This window comes from Homo sapiens, chromosome X (assembly GCF_000001405.40).
Source record: "Homo sapiens chromosome X, GRCh38.p14 Primary Assembly".
Taxonomy (NCBI): Eukaryota; Metazoa; Chordata; class Mammalia; order Primates; family Hominidae; genus Homo; species Homo sapiens.
Genome location: NC_000023.11, coordinates 84,170,808 through 84,188,742, shown reverse-complemented (window position 1 = coordinate 84,188,742; position 17,935 = coordinate 84,170,808). Strand labels below are relative to the sequence as shown.

At 36.9% G+C, this 17,935-nt stretch overlaps 1 protein-coding gene across 9 annotated transcripts in view; it reads left to right on the top strand.

The window, feature by feature from the left end:
• The window catches only part of RPS6KA6 (ribosomal protein S6 kinase A6), a 130,154-nt gene continuing 112,462 nt past the window's right edge, over positions 244 to 17,935 (top strand). For 2 of the 9 annotated variants that reach the window (XM_011530919.3, NM_014496.5), the window contains exon 1: positions 544 to 924. Coding sequence is in view for 6 of the 9 variants with exons in the window: in NM_014496.5 (NP_055311.1) it covers positions 844 to 924 (81 nt within the window). In the remaining 3 variants the exon portion in view is untranslated. The other 7 variants (XM_011530917.3, XM_017029424.2, NM_001330512.1 and 4 more) reach the window with 7 other exon arrangements.

Here is a 17,935-nt window from a genome sequence, read left to right as displayed (position 1 = left end):
TGCCCTAGTATTTGTCACTAAGTATCGAAATGGGCGTGGTTTGGCATATAAGACACCTGCTCTTCGTGAGCCCTGCAAAGAGATACTCTTGGAGTCCTACCCTTACCCTGATTCCTCAAGTGCTCTGGAGGGTCCCCCAGTTCCAGCATCCTTTTTGAGAATCCTGCCGCCCGCCAGCAATGCTGCTCCGTGGACTTGAGAGGGCCTGCTGAGCATGTGTGAAGAGCGCTGCGCATGCTCCGTGGAGTGGGCAGGTTTACCGAGGCGCTAGCAGGGGCTTTTACTACTGTTCAGTCGCCTCCCCAGCCCAGCACGCCCCCCTCCCCTCTATCCCACCACCCACCACGCGGTCCCCCGCATCCACCCCGCCCCTCTATCCCGCCCCCTTCACCCCAAGCTGGGGAATCTCCATTGACGTTTGGGTGACGCCGCTGTGCCGCCGCCGTGGGGGGGTCCAGGCGCCGCACAGGTAACGCCGCCGCTGCCGCCATATTGACAGAGCAGGGAGCGGGGAGGGGACCCGAGGAAGTGGGGTGTTGGGGGAGTCACCACCGAGCGGCTGTCGTTGTGGTGGCAGTGGTGAGCGCGAGCCGAGCGGCAGCTCTTGGAGAGGCAGCACAGAGTTGTCTTCTCTATGGGAATCACCGGGCGGCGGCGGCGGCGACCCCCAGCTCCCAGCCTCTGAGAGACCCGGCGGCGAGGGCAGCGCTCGCTGAAGGCGGGGCTGGGGGTCGCGGCGGCGGCGGCGGCGGCGGCGGCGGCGGCGGGCCAGTTCAATAGACAGGATGCGCGGCCGCGCCAGCGGTAGGCGGCAGCTCCTGTTTGAGTGCTCCTGAAGGGGAGATGCTACCATTCGCTCCTCAGGACGAGCCCTGGGACCGAGAAATGGAAGTGTTCAGCGGCGGCGGCGCGAGCAGCGGCGAGGTTAGTGTGGTGGCCAAGACGGGCTGGAGCCAACCCCCGCCTCCTTCCCCTCAAGACCTTGGCTGGGGACGGAGAGAGGAGAGGCGTAGGGCCGGGAAGCGGGCTCCCGGGCAAGCCCCCTTGATGCTGCCTCCACTGCCCTTTCGCTGGGGAGCGGGCGGGGATGAGACGGCGGGCTCGGGCTTGCGGAGTGAGTGCAGCCTGGGCCCGGGCTCGGCCTTGGGCGGAGCGCCTGCCTGGCGGGCCACGCCAGAGTTGTTGTGACTAAGTTTCTTCACTTTCCGACCCGAAGGGGAACTGGGGGACTGGCGGGGTGCTGTGCCTGACTCCGCGCGTCCCTTTTTCTCCGCCGCGCCTAGTTTGCTGGCTGGGAACATTTTGGGGGACAGCTGCGGACTCCAGCTCGCTGTTGAACCCCGGACGCTTTACGAACCCAGTGCAACAAACACACCAAGGTGACTAAGTAACTCTGGGGACATTTGCACATAGGCACGAGTGTTCCCTGGTAACAGCTTTCTCGTTTCTCTGTGGCTTGTTATGGTTCCTTGTAATGACCCATGTCGAGATACACTGGCGACCTATCTCCAGTCGCCAGGTTTCAGGTGATGTTCTACTGCTTCCTCTCAGGTCCCCTTGATTCTACTGCACTCTTGCTCCACCCCTTCTCCTTTCCACAACCGCTGTCCCTGCCCCGTTGGTCTGTAAAAGAAGACGCAAAGTAAACCCCAGCCCTTATAAATAAGTCGAATCTTTGGTAAGACTTAGCGAGGTTCAACCAAAATACTTTGGTTCACCTCTCTTCCCACTCTTCTTACTCTGAAACTGTTCTGGTTGGGCTTTGGTCAGCTGTGCAGTGAGAACTTAGATGTACACAGGTGCTTTGTTTTTATTGTTGTTATAAAAGCGGGCAGCATTTAAACACAAAAACGTGTCTTTTGTGATAGAAAGTTGGATCCTTTTCTGATAACTTAATCGACTGCGTACTACTCCAGTAGAGGCCACCATACACCTCCTAAAAATAGTTGGTGAAATTGATTCACAGTAGGATATTTTGAGGTAAGACTCTCAATCCTCGACATCTAAAGGGTGCAACTTTGTCTTCAAGTACTTGCTCCATTTAAAAAAAATACACATTTGGCTGTTGTATGATTACCTTGTTTTTTTTTCTTTAAATTTTTTTGTTATTTATCAACTAAACTGGGGTTAAGATTACATGCTAGAATAACATGTGGTAAGGAATATAGTGGAAATAAATTCAGAAGTACCCTAAATCTGAACCCTCTATACTTACAGGAAATATTTTACTAGTAAACCAAGCAATTCCAATATACGTTTTAATATTTTACATCTCGTAAGAACAAGATAAATGAATAGGCGTTCCTTTCTTGTTGAAATGTGGGAATGCTAACTGTTTGCACAATTGTCTAGCAAGTCTATTGAAGGGGAGAGGAACTTTGTTATATTCATGTATGTAACTTACTGAACTTATAGGCATTTAGTTTATAAAAACAGTTAAATGCTTTGATATAAGGATGGGATGGGAGGTGGGAATCCTTTTGCATGCCTACTATTTTATTATTTCTGTTAACTTTGAATGTAGTATGTTTTAAATTGTAATTACCACATATGGTTTTTTTATTGTTTGCAGTATGTTTTAGGTATTGTAGAGATTTAACAATGGGTCTCTCTACCTCAGCAATTTGGAAAAATACTCGAGTGGAAATTGTTAATCCCTATGAAGTAAAACGAAAGGTGAAGGTAATGTGGTGAAGATAGTATTTCTGCCTTCTTTCTCTAAAACAGTTATGATTGGTTAGATTTAACCCTGCAAGTTACTTAATAAAAAATATTATAGGTGAAAACTAAATGCTACATTTGAACAGACCCACTTAGTACTTAGAAGAGTTTGTTTGTTTTTAATTATATTCTTTTGATAAGAAGTAAACAAGTTTACTTTTGATAATTTATATTTTAATTACAAATTTGTTGATGTTGGCTTTAAAAATGCTAATTTTGAGTACAAGCTCTACAACCCTCAATTGTGATAATTTTAGGACTAAGAGTGTTTTTGTTGTAGAATATATATTTTTAAAATGTGCTAGAATCCTTAAAGAAAATGTAGGTAAGAATCTGTTAACTTTAATGTCAAAAGAAATAATTTCCGTCCATTTCTGTGTGTGTTGAATCTGGTAAGATTAAAGATTATAGACACTACCATATATTTTGGAGTCTTTTTGTATCTTTTACCTGTCTTGCTTGCATGGACAGTTGTTAACCTTTGAATTATCATTCAGAAGTGTGTAAATTGGTTGTTTGAGACTCTTAACATGTTTTCCCACAGGAAAAACTTATTAAGGGTACTTATATTTTTAGATCAGTACATAATAGCGAGGTATAATGATGCCGAGCCTAACCACTGTTTGTAAAATTGTTCTGTGGTGAAATGTGTCAGGTTTCAACCAATAACTAGCTTGGTTCCAGTGAGAGGTAGAGAATGGGCCTGAAAAGGGGAAACCTGGAATCTTTTGGTTTCTGGGAAGAGAGTTCTTAGAAGAGGGGAAATAGGGTAAGCAAGAAACTGATTGTGAGAGCTCTTGCAGGGACTGTCTCAATGAGGTCTACTGGGAATAGGAACTTCAAAGGGCATCACCCCTCACGCAGTCACAATTTAAGCTTTTGACTGGATTCTGTCAGGATCAAGAAAGAGGTTTTACTTGAGATGGGATGGGTATTGGTCATTCCTGGGCAAGGATCATAAAGAACAACCTGTTTGACTAATGTGAACTTTTCATGATTTAATGCCATGCATGTTACAGTTTGTTCGCTTAGTTGTTTGTTTTTTGGTGAGGAACCAAGTGCTTCTTTATCAAGTTGATGATGTAATTTTCACATTTCATATCATAGTAAACGTGTAGTACTTTTATATTATTTCTTTAGCAATGCTGTTTTTATTTAAGCAAGTTAGTTTTTTTTTTTTTTTTTTTTTTTTGAGTCAGGGTCTTTCTATGTCATTGTACATTGTCCAGGCTGGCCTCGAACTCCTGGACTCAAACAATCCTCATGCCTCAGGTTCCCGAGTAGCTGGGACTACAGGTGCTCACAACCATGCCTGTCTAAACAAATTAGTTTTGAGAGTATGTAGTTTACTGATAAAACCAATTTGGGAAAAACTTCTAGTTTTAATTAATTTTCATGAGACCCTATAGTAATAGAGGAAAGAACAGCTTTGAAGGCAGGTAAATCTGGGTTCTTGTCCGAGCTCCATGCCATACTCATGATGTGACACAATCCACGTTACCTAACCTCTCTGAACCTCACTTTCTTTGTCTATAAGTTGGAGAAAAAACATCTTCAAGAGTTGTTATGTAAAGAAAATTCAGTGCTGGGTTTAATAAACTTAGCAAGATGTTTTGCACTTAGTCTCTAGTACACAATAGTTCCTTCTCTTTTCCCACAGTCATCATGCCTCTTCCCATGCCCCTAAAGTCTGAACTATTGTCATCTATGTTAAAATCCTGGGATTCAGATAACCATGGCCTTAGCCGCAGCCTTCCATTTCGTAAGCAGTTTTTCTTAAGACCCCTTCCTAAATTTGATCATTTCATCTAAGTATAGTGGTGCTCTCACTGTGAATGTTTGTAATCACAGATAGGGTGATCCAGAGATAAAATACAAAGTTATATTTAGAAACAGTGGAAGGATAAGAAGAGACAGATAATTTCATTTATTATATCTGGCTGATGAGGTGTTTCATTGAAATTTTTAATTTTTTAAAAAAATTCTGAACTCTTGTCATGGTAGGAATTGGTTCAATTCATGAAGCATTTATTGAGTACAAGGCAGTGCTGTACATAGTGCTGTAATGTGAAATGCCTAAAAATATACCACAGAGTCCCACCCTACCCCCACAGGTTTACATTCAGGTAGTAAGACAGGCATGTATGGAAATTGTTATTGTAAAAGGCACAAGATTATCAACAATGGGGTGGTGGTGGTGGTGGTGGGGGTGGTGGTGGTTTAGGAATGGATCTGGTAAGGCTTTGTGAAGGAGGTGGAATTTGAGCAGGGCATTAGAAAGTGATAATATTTTCACAGACAGATGAAAGGAGCATATTTCACGTGGATGGGCACAATATAAGAAAAGGCATGGAAATGTTCTGAAAGAAGGAAGAATCTGATACTGTTGTAAGTCTGTGATGTGGGAGAGGGGATATAGTGAGAGATAAGGAATGTATTAAAGGTAAGCTAGGCCCAGGTTGAATGGGACTTTTTAAGCCAGTTTAAGGGTTCAATTTTATCTCATAAATAGGAGCCACTGAAGGTTTTTGAGGACATGAGTGACATTATTAGATTTGTGCTTTGAAAAATAATTGACGGTAGTGAGGAATGGGGGAGATATGGAAGGTGGGGAATTCCAGCTAGGAGGCTATTGTGTTAGTGGAAGTAGTAGTGAGATTTTTGAACTAGTACAGAAGGGGTAGAAAAGAGATGACTGATGGGAGAGACCTGGCAGAGGTAGAATAGTTACAATTTGGTAACTGATTAGATGTTGGAGAGTAAAAAGAAATAACAAACAATTGAGATTAGAAGCGTCCTGGTAGGAATTAATTCAATGTAACAGGTATTTAATGCATACCTGCCAATATAAGTCTCTGTATTAGCCACCAGACTAATATAAAAATAAATAGATCTTTGCAGTATAGGGAGATAGAAAGCTAAAATGAAATCTCCCCTTTCTAATATTGTATTGAATAATAGCATTCCACTCTGAAGGTTTCTGATCGTGCTTAGAATGCTTAAATTCTTTACTACCAAAGGTGAATACACTTATTACTAGCTAAAACATTTTTAATTCTTTTTAAATGGGCCTTAGGCCTGTAATTCTTGTTTCACCAATGTTCATCTTCAGTAGTCAGCAGCCGTGAGTACAGAGTCCTATTCTGAAAATAATGACCAGTACTTATTTCTGGAATGTGGAAGGAGAGCAGGGACATCTGTATTTTTTCTATGCTTTCACCAGGTTTATTTGGAATAGACAAGCGGGGAGGAGTCAGAGGGCAGTGGCCCCTCCCTGCCACAGGTGCCTTCTCAGTTCCTCCAAGTCAATCTTTCTTTAAGCCAGTCTGATCTGGAAATATTCAGGTCAGTTCCTTCAGGGCAGGTCCTCTATATTTCCCTACCTTGATTAGTTCATCAAGAGAGCTAATCATTACCTCTGTGTTCCATGATAAGGCCTACTGATAGTGTAGTTGCTTTTCTGGGCCATATTGTTTTAGTACCTACCCTCTCATAGTCTCTCTCATCTAGAATTTTGATGAGGAAATGCAAGATTTTTTTCCCTTCCTGTAATTTCTTTCTTGGTGCTATCATTGTATGTAGCAGCGGTTCTTAAGATTTGATAAGCACTTGGAATCTTGAGGTATAAGCCTTTCAGTACTTTGTCAGAATTTGCTATGTAATGTTTATTCATTTATGTTATTTCCAAGGATTATTTACTGTTGCTGCCAATATTTTTTTTTGTTGTGTATTTTCTTTATTTTTGTTTGTTTTTAGGTAGGAAAGGAGTTAGATGGGAGAGAGATTTAGAGAGCTGAGCTAAATCTGGCTTTTGCAGATAAGAGACGTTTTCTAAATTGCCCTGGAGACATTCTGTAACTGATTTCACTGCTAGATTTTAATCTGTATCTCTACATTAGAAACAGGTCCTGCTGTAGTTTTGTGTGCACGTGTGTGTGTGTGTGTGTGTGTGTGTGTGAGAGAGAGAGAGAGAGAGAGAGAGAGACAGAGAAAGAGGGAAGGTGGAGTAGAGTGCATGTGTGTTACTTGTGATTTGCTTCATTTTACCAAGCATTTGAGATGGTATATGGGAAATATAATCTGATAACTATTTTGATATTGAGGATAAGGGAAAACAAAGTAGGAGATATATGAAAAGGGTGGAGGGTAGGGGATGAAGGGTAAAATAGAGCACAAATAAGCAGGCTGTAAGGGTCTATGACATGTTTAAAATATAGTTGAATTATAAATTTGGCCTTGAGTTTTCTTAGCTGGTTTTTCTCAACTCTGGCTGTGTGTTATATTTACCTGGGAGTGTAAAAAAATTATCCATGCCAGTGTTCCACTCAGAGATTCACATTTAACTAATCTAGAGGGGGCCTGGGCATCTATTCCCCAGATGCTTATGATGCACAGCCAGGGTTAAAAACCACAGCTCTAGGCCAAAGTAAAAAAAGAAATAGTCACGTAGTTGTCATTATTCAATAGGAAAAAAAGAATATTAATTTGTAAGCTAGCAATTAGCTCTGCAGTAAATTATCTGTGAATTGTGATATTTTTCTGTGTGTTTTATTTTGTTGTTGTTTTAAGATATGACTGGAGCCAAATTGGGTTGTTTGAACTGCCCTGTATGTTCTTGCTCTTTAGTTTTGAGGAATTTGCTTTTCCAGTAGCATTAAAAACAAAATTTAGTACCGTAGCTAGTTTTGATATAGTTCAGCCATATAACTAAGAGGTTAAATAACTTGTTCACCCATTTTACTAGCTGAGTAAGGAGATAGTGACTCTGTTTTGAATGACAAATATCCCATTACATCTCTAACAAAAAATTTCAAAACCCATGGGTAATTATTACTAAGAAATCCCTCTGCCTCTCCTGTAAAGTGATTGAAGACAAACTTTAAGAGGAAATATAGCAATTTAAACACCCAATACAAATTTTTTAACCTGAAAAAACGTTGGAATCCATTCCATTTAAAGGTATCGAATCTTAAGGGAGAAAGAGATAATAGCGTTTATTGAGCATGAACTATGTACCAGCTAGTACTAGATGCATCATAGATTATCTCAGTTTTATTCATTCTTCAAAACATCTTGGTAAGACAGTTATGTCTTTTTAACAGAATAGAAAGATACATGCAAGTTAGTAGGAAATACGTCTGGAATTTGAACCTAGATTATTTTAAATTCATGCTTTTTCCTCTATACATTGCTATCTCCCCCCTAAGGACAATATTGAAAATAAGGAGAGAATATAGATACGTTGTTAGCAACCATATTAGATCAGCAGTCAGATGTGCTGATTCAATAGCCATGCCTGTCTATTTAAGTTAAATAAATGTCAACAAAATCCCAGCAAGTCTGTTTTTTTGTTTTGTTTTGTTTTGTAAACAGACAAGCATGTTCTAAAATGTATATGTAAAAGTACAAGACCTAGAAGCTCTAAAACAATTTTGAAAAAGAAAAATAAAATAAGGAATTACTCTATTGGATATTACGTTTTACTATGTAACTATAATAAAGACAATGTGGTATTGGTGGAAGAATAGACACGTAGATCAGTAGACCAGAATAGAGTACACAGAAATAGAGCCACACAAATACACTCAACTGAATTTTGAGAAAAAATGCAAAAAAATAAAAAAATAAAGAACAAGATCAGCTTTTAAAATCTGAGGAAATTTTAGGGGGAAAGTTGCTACCTTTTTCAAAAAGGCAGAACTTGAAATTTGCACTTTCTTTCTGAAGATTCTGGGGAAATTATTACATAAAACATTTTTGCTATTTTCAGTTACTACAGTTGAAATTAGTCATTAAGACATAAGTGAAAATGGAACATGAATTATCCTAAAAATCATAAGCTTGATAAGAGTTGAGGTATAGGGATTTATTACTCTACTTAAAGGATCAGAGTGGACAGAACTTCAGAAAACAAAGGAGAAAAACGTCATATGAGGGGAAATGTGGACTGAATGTCAGGTTTCAAATGACTTTTAGTTTTTCTTAAAATGAGAGAGGTTTGGTGTATGTGTTAAAGAAATTGTACTAATTGAGAATAGTCAAAATTCAAAATTAAGGGAAATAGATAAGCCATTAGGTCTGATTTGATAAAAATATTTTGCATTCATGATTGTTCACCTGGAGTAGATGCAGTGATGAATGAATGCTGTTGGAAACAATTACATTTCAAACTTAATGGGCATATGCAGAAAACCATATGTTGATTATAGAGACATATACAAGAATGATAGAACATATATAAGATAATTTGTGTATGATTTTGTACTTTATTTTACAGATGGAGAAGAGTAACTCTAGACCTTCTGGCACAATCATAAAACATTTATTGTGTTTATCATTTGTAGAGCAATTACATTGGAATAAGTGAATACTTATAGAATCTCTTAAGGGAGGTCAGTCAATACGGATTTTCAAAAAAGACATGGTCATTCAGCAACTTCATATCTATGAACAATATTAATTTGATTTTATTTGGTCTTTATTCATGATATTATGTGTATCAGTAGTTCTTTCTTTTTTATTGCTGTGCACTAGTCTGTTATGTGAATGTACCACAGTTGATTTGTTCATTAATAAGTTGAAGGACATTTGGATTTGGGTTGTTACCAGTGTTTGGTGATTATGAATAAAGCCATTATACACATTTGTATGAAAATTTCGGTTTGGACATAACTTTTCACTTATATTGGGTAAACACTTAGGAGTGAGGTTGCTGCGTGAGAATTCCAGCTGCTCTGAGTACTTGCCAGCACTTAGTCTTGTCAGATTAAGTGAAAAAAAATAGCTATTCTAATTGGAGTGTAGGGGTATCTAATTGTGATTTTAACTTGCATTTCCCTAATGACACATGTTGCTAAGCATATTTTCATATGCTTATTTGCCATCCGTATATATTCTCTGATGAGTTGTCTTTTCAAATTTTTTGAAATTGTTCAAGTTGGGTTGTTTTCTTATTATTGAATTTTGAGAGTTCTTTATATTCCAAATGCAAGTCCTTTATTAGATACCGATTTCCAAATATTTTTCCCACATGGTCTGTCTTTTCATTCTCTTAATAAAGAGTCGAGGTTTTTCATCTTAGCGAAGTCCAGTTTATCAGTTTTTTTTTTCTTTTATGAATTGTGTTTTTGGTGTTGTATCTAAGAAATCCTAGCCTAATCCAAAGTTACAGAATTTTTCCCTTAAGTTTTCTTCTAGAAGTTTTTTAGTTATATTTCTTAATTTAGGTCTTTGATCCATTTCTAGTTAATTTTTGAATATGGTGGGTAGTGTGATAGAAGTCTACTTTTTTACACAGGTATGTCCAGTTGCTCTGCCACCATTTGTTGAAAAGACTACCTGTTCTCTATTGAATTGCCTTTGTACTATATCAAAAATCATTTTGTCACATATGTGTAGTTTTCATAATAATTTTAATGAATTAGTCCTGTGGAACTTCAGAATTGCACTTACTGAGCATAGATATATGGTGTTAATAAAATTAATTAATACAATTAATAAAATTCTTGAGGTTGTTTCTGTATTGGGTTTAGTGAAATATTCTTTGTTAAAAAACAAAATAATTTCTGTGATATATTTTCTTTGCAGTCATTAATTTTCAAAACATTAAGTGACTGTTCTTAGACCCTTTTATAGATGAGGAAACCTAATGGTGCTAGAAGTTTTATGTGAACTTTCTCATTCTGCAGTGATACTTCTCTGCTTATCTCCTCCCCCATATTTGTACATTACCCCTAACATTTTTTATATAGCAGTTTGTGACCTGTTAGTTGCTTAGTATTAGACATGAAAGCTACAAGACTGAATAAGCTTCAGTTCATATTCTAGAAACTATCTCTTTGCCAAGAAAATGGGAGCCTGGATTGTTGGAGCTTTGGTAACCATCATTAACATAGATTTAATTTTGCTCTTTTTAAATAAAATTATTTTGGCTTGGCACGGTGGCTTATGCCTGTAATCCCAGCACTTTGGGAGGCAGCGTGCGAGGAATACTTGAGCCCAGGAGTTTGAGACCAGCCTGGGCAACATAGTGAGACCCTGTCTCTAAAAAGAATAAAAAATTAGCTGTGTGTGGTGGTGCATGCCTGTGGTCCCAGCTACTTGTGGAGCTGAGGTGGGAGGATCACTTGAGCCTGGGAAGTCAAGGCTGCTGTGAGCCATGATTGTGCCACTGCACTCCAGCCTGGGTGACAGAGCGAGACCTTGTCTCAAAAAATTTATATTTTAGTTTTTAAAATTGACAAATAATTGTTGTATATTCCTTTTGGTTTTAAGAAGAGAATGATATTCGTTCTTTGAGAAACATTTTAAAACTACCTTCTTTAACCTTGGTTAATGATACTCAGTGCCTCATGTCTTCCTATGTGAAAGAGGAAATATGAGAATAATGTAGGTTGGGTTTGTATTGAGAATATTGTGCTAATTAAGTTGATTTTAAACTTAAGGAAATATAAACAGTTGGGTTAGCCATCTCAGATTCTTTACAAATTCAGAATACCATAGAGGATAATAGCTGGTTCCCTAGAGCTAGAATGCCCGAGTTTAAATTCTGGCTCTTTATTTATTTACTGTGTGACCTTGGACAAGTTACTTCTCTGTAGTTTACTTGGTCGCTCTATCTGTAAAATGGGGATAACAGTAGCATATAATATATGTAAAGCACTTAGAAGAGTGTCTTTTCCATTGTAAGCACTCAGTAAATGTTATTATTTTTAAATATATCACATCTGCAATCTGAGTTATTGAAGATTAACAGGCTTGCAAGTTAAAAAAATCAACTATTGTATAATGATATTTAAGTATCATATATAATTATGCAGTTATTAGTATTTCTTCTTTAAAGGTATTTATATACAAATACACATTTCTCCTTTTTGACCATCTTCTTCTACCTGTGACTTGAATTTTGAAACATTTTATTCTTCCTTGATTAGCTGTAGTAAGGCTGTCTTTTTTTCGTATTCATTTCTCAAGAGGATGGTACTGCTTTTGCTGAACTTATATTTTCTTTATTCACTGAGCTTCTGTTTTCTGTAGTCTATTGACTTGTGATTTTCTCTGAGTAGTTTTTTGACAGCAAACATTTATTAATGGAAAAAAACCCACACATATCAGGTAGAATTTGACCTCAAGCTAAGGTTGTGTAATAGCTGTCTATTTTTGACTTTTTTCCACATATAAACCCATTTTAGTTTTTAAATTTTTTCCTTTATTCTCCATTGTTTATGAAGTGATGAAAGAATAGAGTAATATGGTGTAGGACATTTAGGAACTGTGACTCACTGGGATAAAGTTGTTTTATCCTGTCACTAGCTTGCTGTGTGTTTTTAGGTATGTGTTATTTAATTAATCAGTTTCTTCACATATAAAATGGGAATTAACATGTTTATGATTATTTTGAGAAGTAACACAATTGTACTTTGTATATAATGTTTGTCAAGAATAATAAAGTTCTTTTTCCTTTCAAAAAATGACTAAAGATTTAGGTGTTCTAGACAAAGTACTTCTTTAACCCTGATATATAACTCAGTGGACAATTTAAACTTAATTCATACCCCAAAGGTAGTATTTTAATGTGATTATATAGACTTCATATCTTGAAGAGGTTACAACAGTGAGAATTACTACCTCAGAATGTCATGTGTGTATTCAGGTTGCATATGTACATGACTTCATTTATACCACATGAATACTTATATTTTTGGAAAGTAAACTTCCCAAATGCATGTGTTGTAGCCCATATGAGACTGGCCAGACAGCCAGTGCCTTTGCATTGGGAACACTTTGGAGCTATTCAAAACCAATAAAGTCATTAGCTCTGATTTCAGCTAAGCAGAGTAAACAAATTCCTGCCTGAATAGAAACCAGGAAGCTGCATTTCTGTCATTGAAACAAGGTTGTAAAAACTCAAATGTTCTGGAAATACCTTCTAATGTTTATGCAATATTGACATACTTAGTTTAACTCAGTAGTAACAGTAGTTACTCAGTGACTCAGTAGTAACTCAGTAGTAATAGTAGTACAACTACTAGTCCTTTTTAAAAGCATGATGATAATTGGATTTTTTTTAATTGGTTCTAAATATTATTTTGCATGCACTCACCAAATTATGATTAAATATGTATAGTGTTGTGTTACTAGATAGGGTTCATTTGGTTATTGCTCTCAATTTCTGTCTTGATAACTGAAAACTAATTAACTGTGTATTTACGCATTTTTCCATAATGTACAAAGAAATATCTGAACTGAAGGACAATATATTATGTCACAAATTCCAACAAATTTAGCCTTATAGAAAGATTTTTAAAAATATTTTGGTTGTTAATGTTTTAATTCCATACTCCTGTGGCATTATTCACAGGTTCACTAATAGATCTTTCCCACCCTTTTGCTTTTCTAATATATTAATACCCGATTTCCTCCTACTCAAATAAGCCATCAAGAAAGTAGAGCCTCGGTATGTATGGCAGTTCAGTTTGTGCCGTATTCTTGCTTTGCATAGCTCCCCTTACTCTTGGCTATGTAATACCTAGCATATAAATGCTATGTAAATAGCTGTTAATAGAGATAACATTATTGCTATGTAATACCTAGCAGTATAAATGCCATGTAAATAGTTGTTAGTGGAGATAATTTAAAATATAGAGGAAGAGATTTAACAGATAAATAATAGAGATCATTTAAAGTACAGAGGAGGATGTGCATAGTTATATGCAAATGCCACATCATTTTATATACAAAACTTGAGCATCTGTGGATTTTGGCATCCACGAGAGGTCCTGGAACCAATCTCCCACGTATACTGAGGTTCATAATGTGATTTCCATGCAAGATATGAAATACAAAGAATTTCTAACATTTTTTTTCTTGAAAACAATTTTATGACTAACCCAAATAATATATTTTTAATGTGATTTTGAAAAAGCTGAATTCCTCTTTGCTGTTAGCATTTAAGAGTCAGAAATGGGAAGTAAAATGACTTACTGTAACTTCGTCATGAAATTATGTTTGAAAGTTGGTTTTAAACATTTTTAGTAAGAAAACTAATAAAAATCGAAGGAAAAATAATGGCCATTGCTTATTATTGAAGTTATTTTATAAATTTTATTCATTTAGATCCCAGATTTTAGTCATTCCATTTTGTAAATATTTTTCCAGTGTCTATTATGTTCCAGATATTATGCTAGGTACTGGGGTAACCAAGAGTAATATGATGAGATCCCTTTCCTCCAGGAGATTACAGTATGATAGAGAGATGGAAGAGACACTTAACAAGTAACACAGTGTTTACTGATAGAAGTCTTCATAGGGTAAGGTGGAAGGAAAAAGGGAAAGTGTTAACGTTGAGTCTTGATAAAGATGAGTTGACATTCAAAAGCACAGGTAATTCAAAATGGCAAATACTCCAAAGATCATTCATATTTAACTTTGGACTTGGTTTTATGCCTTAATTTGAACATGGATATGTTTTACCAGCTAACTGCTTTTACAACAGAGCCTCATGATTGCATTTAAATACCTGACTAAAGTAATCGCTTGGAGGCTGTATACTCTTGTCCCATTCTGAGACTCTTTTAAAAAAAAGACATCTCTTTTAAATTGATTTGAAACATAATTGCCCTTTCTTAAGTCCTCCCTGAAGCAGTGACAATAATTAGGTGGGTGTATTTCAAACTTCTTGAGGTACAAACTACAAGAATATTGTATAATTAGAAAGCCAGAAAGGATCAAAGTAAATCATTTAAAATGAGTATTGTAGTTGTTATCAGATTTCTCATAAGCAGTATGTTAACTATATAATTTAATCTAAAAGTTCAAAAAGATTAAAGTGTTTTGGGGAAATGACCATAGATATTAATAAACCTTTGAAAATATTTGGTAGTATAAAAGACACAGTACAAATTAAAACTTGCCTGGTGAATCCAAAAAAACAAACCAACTAAATCTTATTTTTGGAAATGTCTTGCTTAAAAGACTGTTAGATAAATTGATAAAGTGTGTTATAGTAAAAATATACAAAGATACTTTTTTATTTCTCTCCAATTTGTGTTTCTTAAAGCAAAGAGTATGTTCATGAGTATGTATATACCTTTATGGGTTGGTTTGGGAGATTCATTTCACGTTGACCAAAAGTGATCCTATCATAATTTTAAAAGTGATCTTTCCACAACAGTATGACATATCAAAACTACACTAGGGCTGGGCACTGTGGCTCATGACTGTAATCCCTGTGCTTTGGGAAGCTGGGGCAGGAGGATTATTTGAGCCTAGGAGTTTGAGGTTACAATGAGCTGTGATCGCACTGCCACTGCACTGCAGCCTGGGGCGACACAGCGAGATCCTATCTCAAAAAATAAATAAATGATACAAAAAAACTAAATTAAGACTATTGAGTCAATACTATTATGATAGTGATATGGCAGTAAGTTTTGATTCACATATTTTTTATTCTCTATACAGGCAGCATTATTCACCTCTGATGAATTATTAGCTAAAATGTTTTTATTTTTTTCTGTATTGTTTTTATCAGAAAAACATTCACACATCATGCATTTGTTGAGCACATGTCAGACACTGTGCCAGCTGCTTTAGGAACATTGTATGAATCCTGACAATCCTAGGTTGCTCATTTTACAGATGAAGAAATTGCAACTAAGAAAGCTTAATAAACTTTTCAAAGGCAGTAAAAGTAGAGCTTTAGAGTTTGAATCTTGGTCTGCTTGACACTGAAGAATTGCTGTTTTCATGACATACTATGCCTGCCTAATGAATGAAACACAGCATCATTCCTCAAGGAGCTTTAAGTCTAGATGCACATGACAAGAAATTTACCTGATGTGATGTATTACTAATCTTATTTTTAGCATTAAAATTTTAAATTGTCTTATATATATAAATATATATATGAAACATAAAATTTGCCATCTTAACCATTTTAAAGAATACAGTTCAAAAGTGTTGAGTACATTCACATTATTGTGCAGCCAATCTACAGGACTGTTTTTACCTTGCAAAACTAGAACTCCTTACACGTTACACAAAAGCTTTCCATTCTCCCCTTTTTGCCAGCCCCAGCAACCACCTTTCTACTTTCCATCTCTATGAATTTGACTATTCTAGATACCTTATATAAATGGAACCATATAGTATTTGTCATTTTATGACTGGCTTATTTCAATTCATATAATATCATCATGGTTCATGTTGCAGCGTGTGTCAGAATTTCCTTTCTTTTTAAGGTTGAATGATATTCCATTGTATGTATATACCACATTTTGTTTAACTTACCATCTGTCGATAAATACTTGGGTTGCTTCTACCTTTTGGCTATTTGTAAATAATGCTGCTATGAACATAGGTGTACAAATATCTTTTTGAGACCCTGCTTTCGATTTTTTTGGTTCTATACCCTGAAGTGGGATTGCTAGATCATATGGTAATTCTATTTTAAATTTTTAAGGAATTGCTATACTGCTTTTTATAGCAGCTATACCATTTTACGTTGTCACCAACAGTGCACAGAGGTTCCAATTTCTCCACATCCTTATGTATGGTGGAATTATTTTGAAAAAGTAAATTCCAGGATATATTCTGGATTTACTTTCCATTTCAACAAAGCCATGCTGTTGATAATTCATGTTGAGAGGGTTAGTTCTTAAGATACTGAGATATCCCTGATTGTTAAAGGAATATGAAATTATGTTCTTGCGGTGATTCGTCAAGGATCTAGGACCAGAAATACCATTTGATCTAGCAATCCCATTAATGGGTATATACCCAAAGGATTATAAATCATTCTAATATAAAGACACATGCACACGTATGTTTATTGCAGCCCTATTTATTGCAGCACTATATATAAACACTATATATAAACACGCATGTTTATTGCACTACTATTTATTGCAGCAAACACTTGGAACTAACCTAAATGCCCATCAGTGATAGACTGGATAAAGAAAATGTGGTACATACACATCATGGAATACTATGCAGCCATAAAAAGAATGAGTTCATGTCCTTTGCAGGGACATGGATGAAACTAGAAACCATCATCCTTAGCAAACTAACACAGGGACAGAAAACCGAACACCACATGTTCTCACTCATAAGTGGGATTTGAACAATGAGAACACATGGACACAGGGAGGGGAATATCACACACTGGGGTATGTCGGGGGTTGGCGGGAAAAGGGCGGGGAGAGTATTCGGACAAATACCTAATGCATGTGGAGCTTAAAACCTAGATGGCGAGTTGATAGGTGGAGCAAGCCACCATGGCACATGTATACCTGTGTAACAAACCTGCACGTTCATCACATGTATCCCAGAACTTAAAATAAAATTTTAAAAAAAGGAATTACGTTCTCTATACTGTGCTTAAGTTAGTGATTGATTTTTCGGAAAGCAGGATTAAAGGACAAAAATAGAACTGCTCAATTTTAAGTTTATTGAAACTAAAATTAAAAATTTGGCCCCACTTAAACATTTGTCCTGGGTCACTTACTAGTATATAGTTTACAGTTTTATTTCTACCAAATGAGAACAAATATGTGAGTTTAATAAGTAAAGATCTATTTTAAAATGATTAAACTGTAAAATTTGTCTCTGGAAAGTCTGTTTCAGGGGAGAATTTTTGATCATAGACACTTTTGATTGTATTACCTAGTGCTGCAAAAAATTACCATAAATTTAGCAGCTTTAACCAAGACACATTTATTATCTCACAGTTTCTATGGATCAGGAATCTGGGCTTGGCTCAACTAGATCCTCTGCTTAGGGCCCTACCAAGCTGTAATCAACACATGGGTCAGCTTGGTCCTCTGCTTCGATTCCCACAAAAATGTAATCAAGGTTTCAGCTGTTCTGCATTGTTATATAGAGGCTTGACTGGGTGAATAATCTACTTTTACACTCCCTCAGATTCTTGGTAGAGTTCCTTTCCTTGTGGTTGCAGGACTGAGGGCCCTGGCTTCTTGCTGGATGTTGAGTGGAGGCTGCTTTCAACTCCTAGAGGCTGCCTGTAGTTCCTAGAGGATGGCCACAGTCCCTCGTTATGGGGACTTTCTCAACATGGTCACTTAATTACTTCAATCAAGTCAGCAAGGAAAGCCTCTAGAGTCTTATATGACACAGTGTAATCATATATGTAAAATCTCATCGCCTTTGCCATATTCTATTGGTTGGAATTCAGTGATAGGCCATGTTCACATTC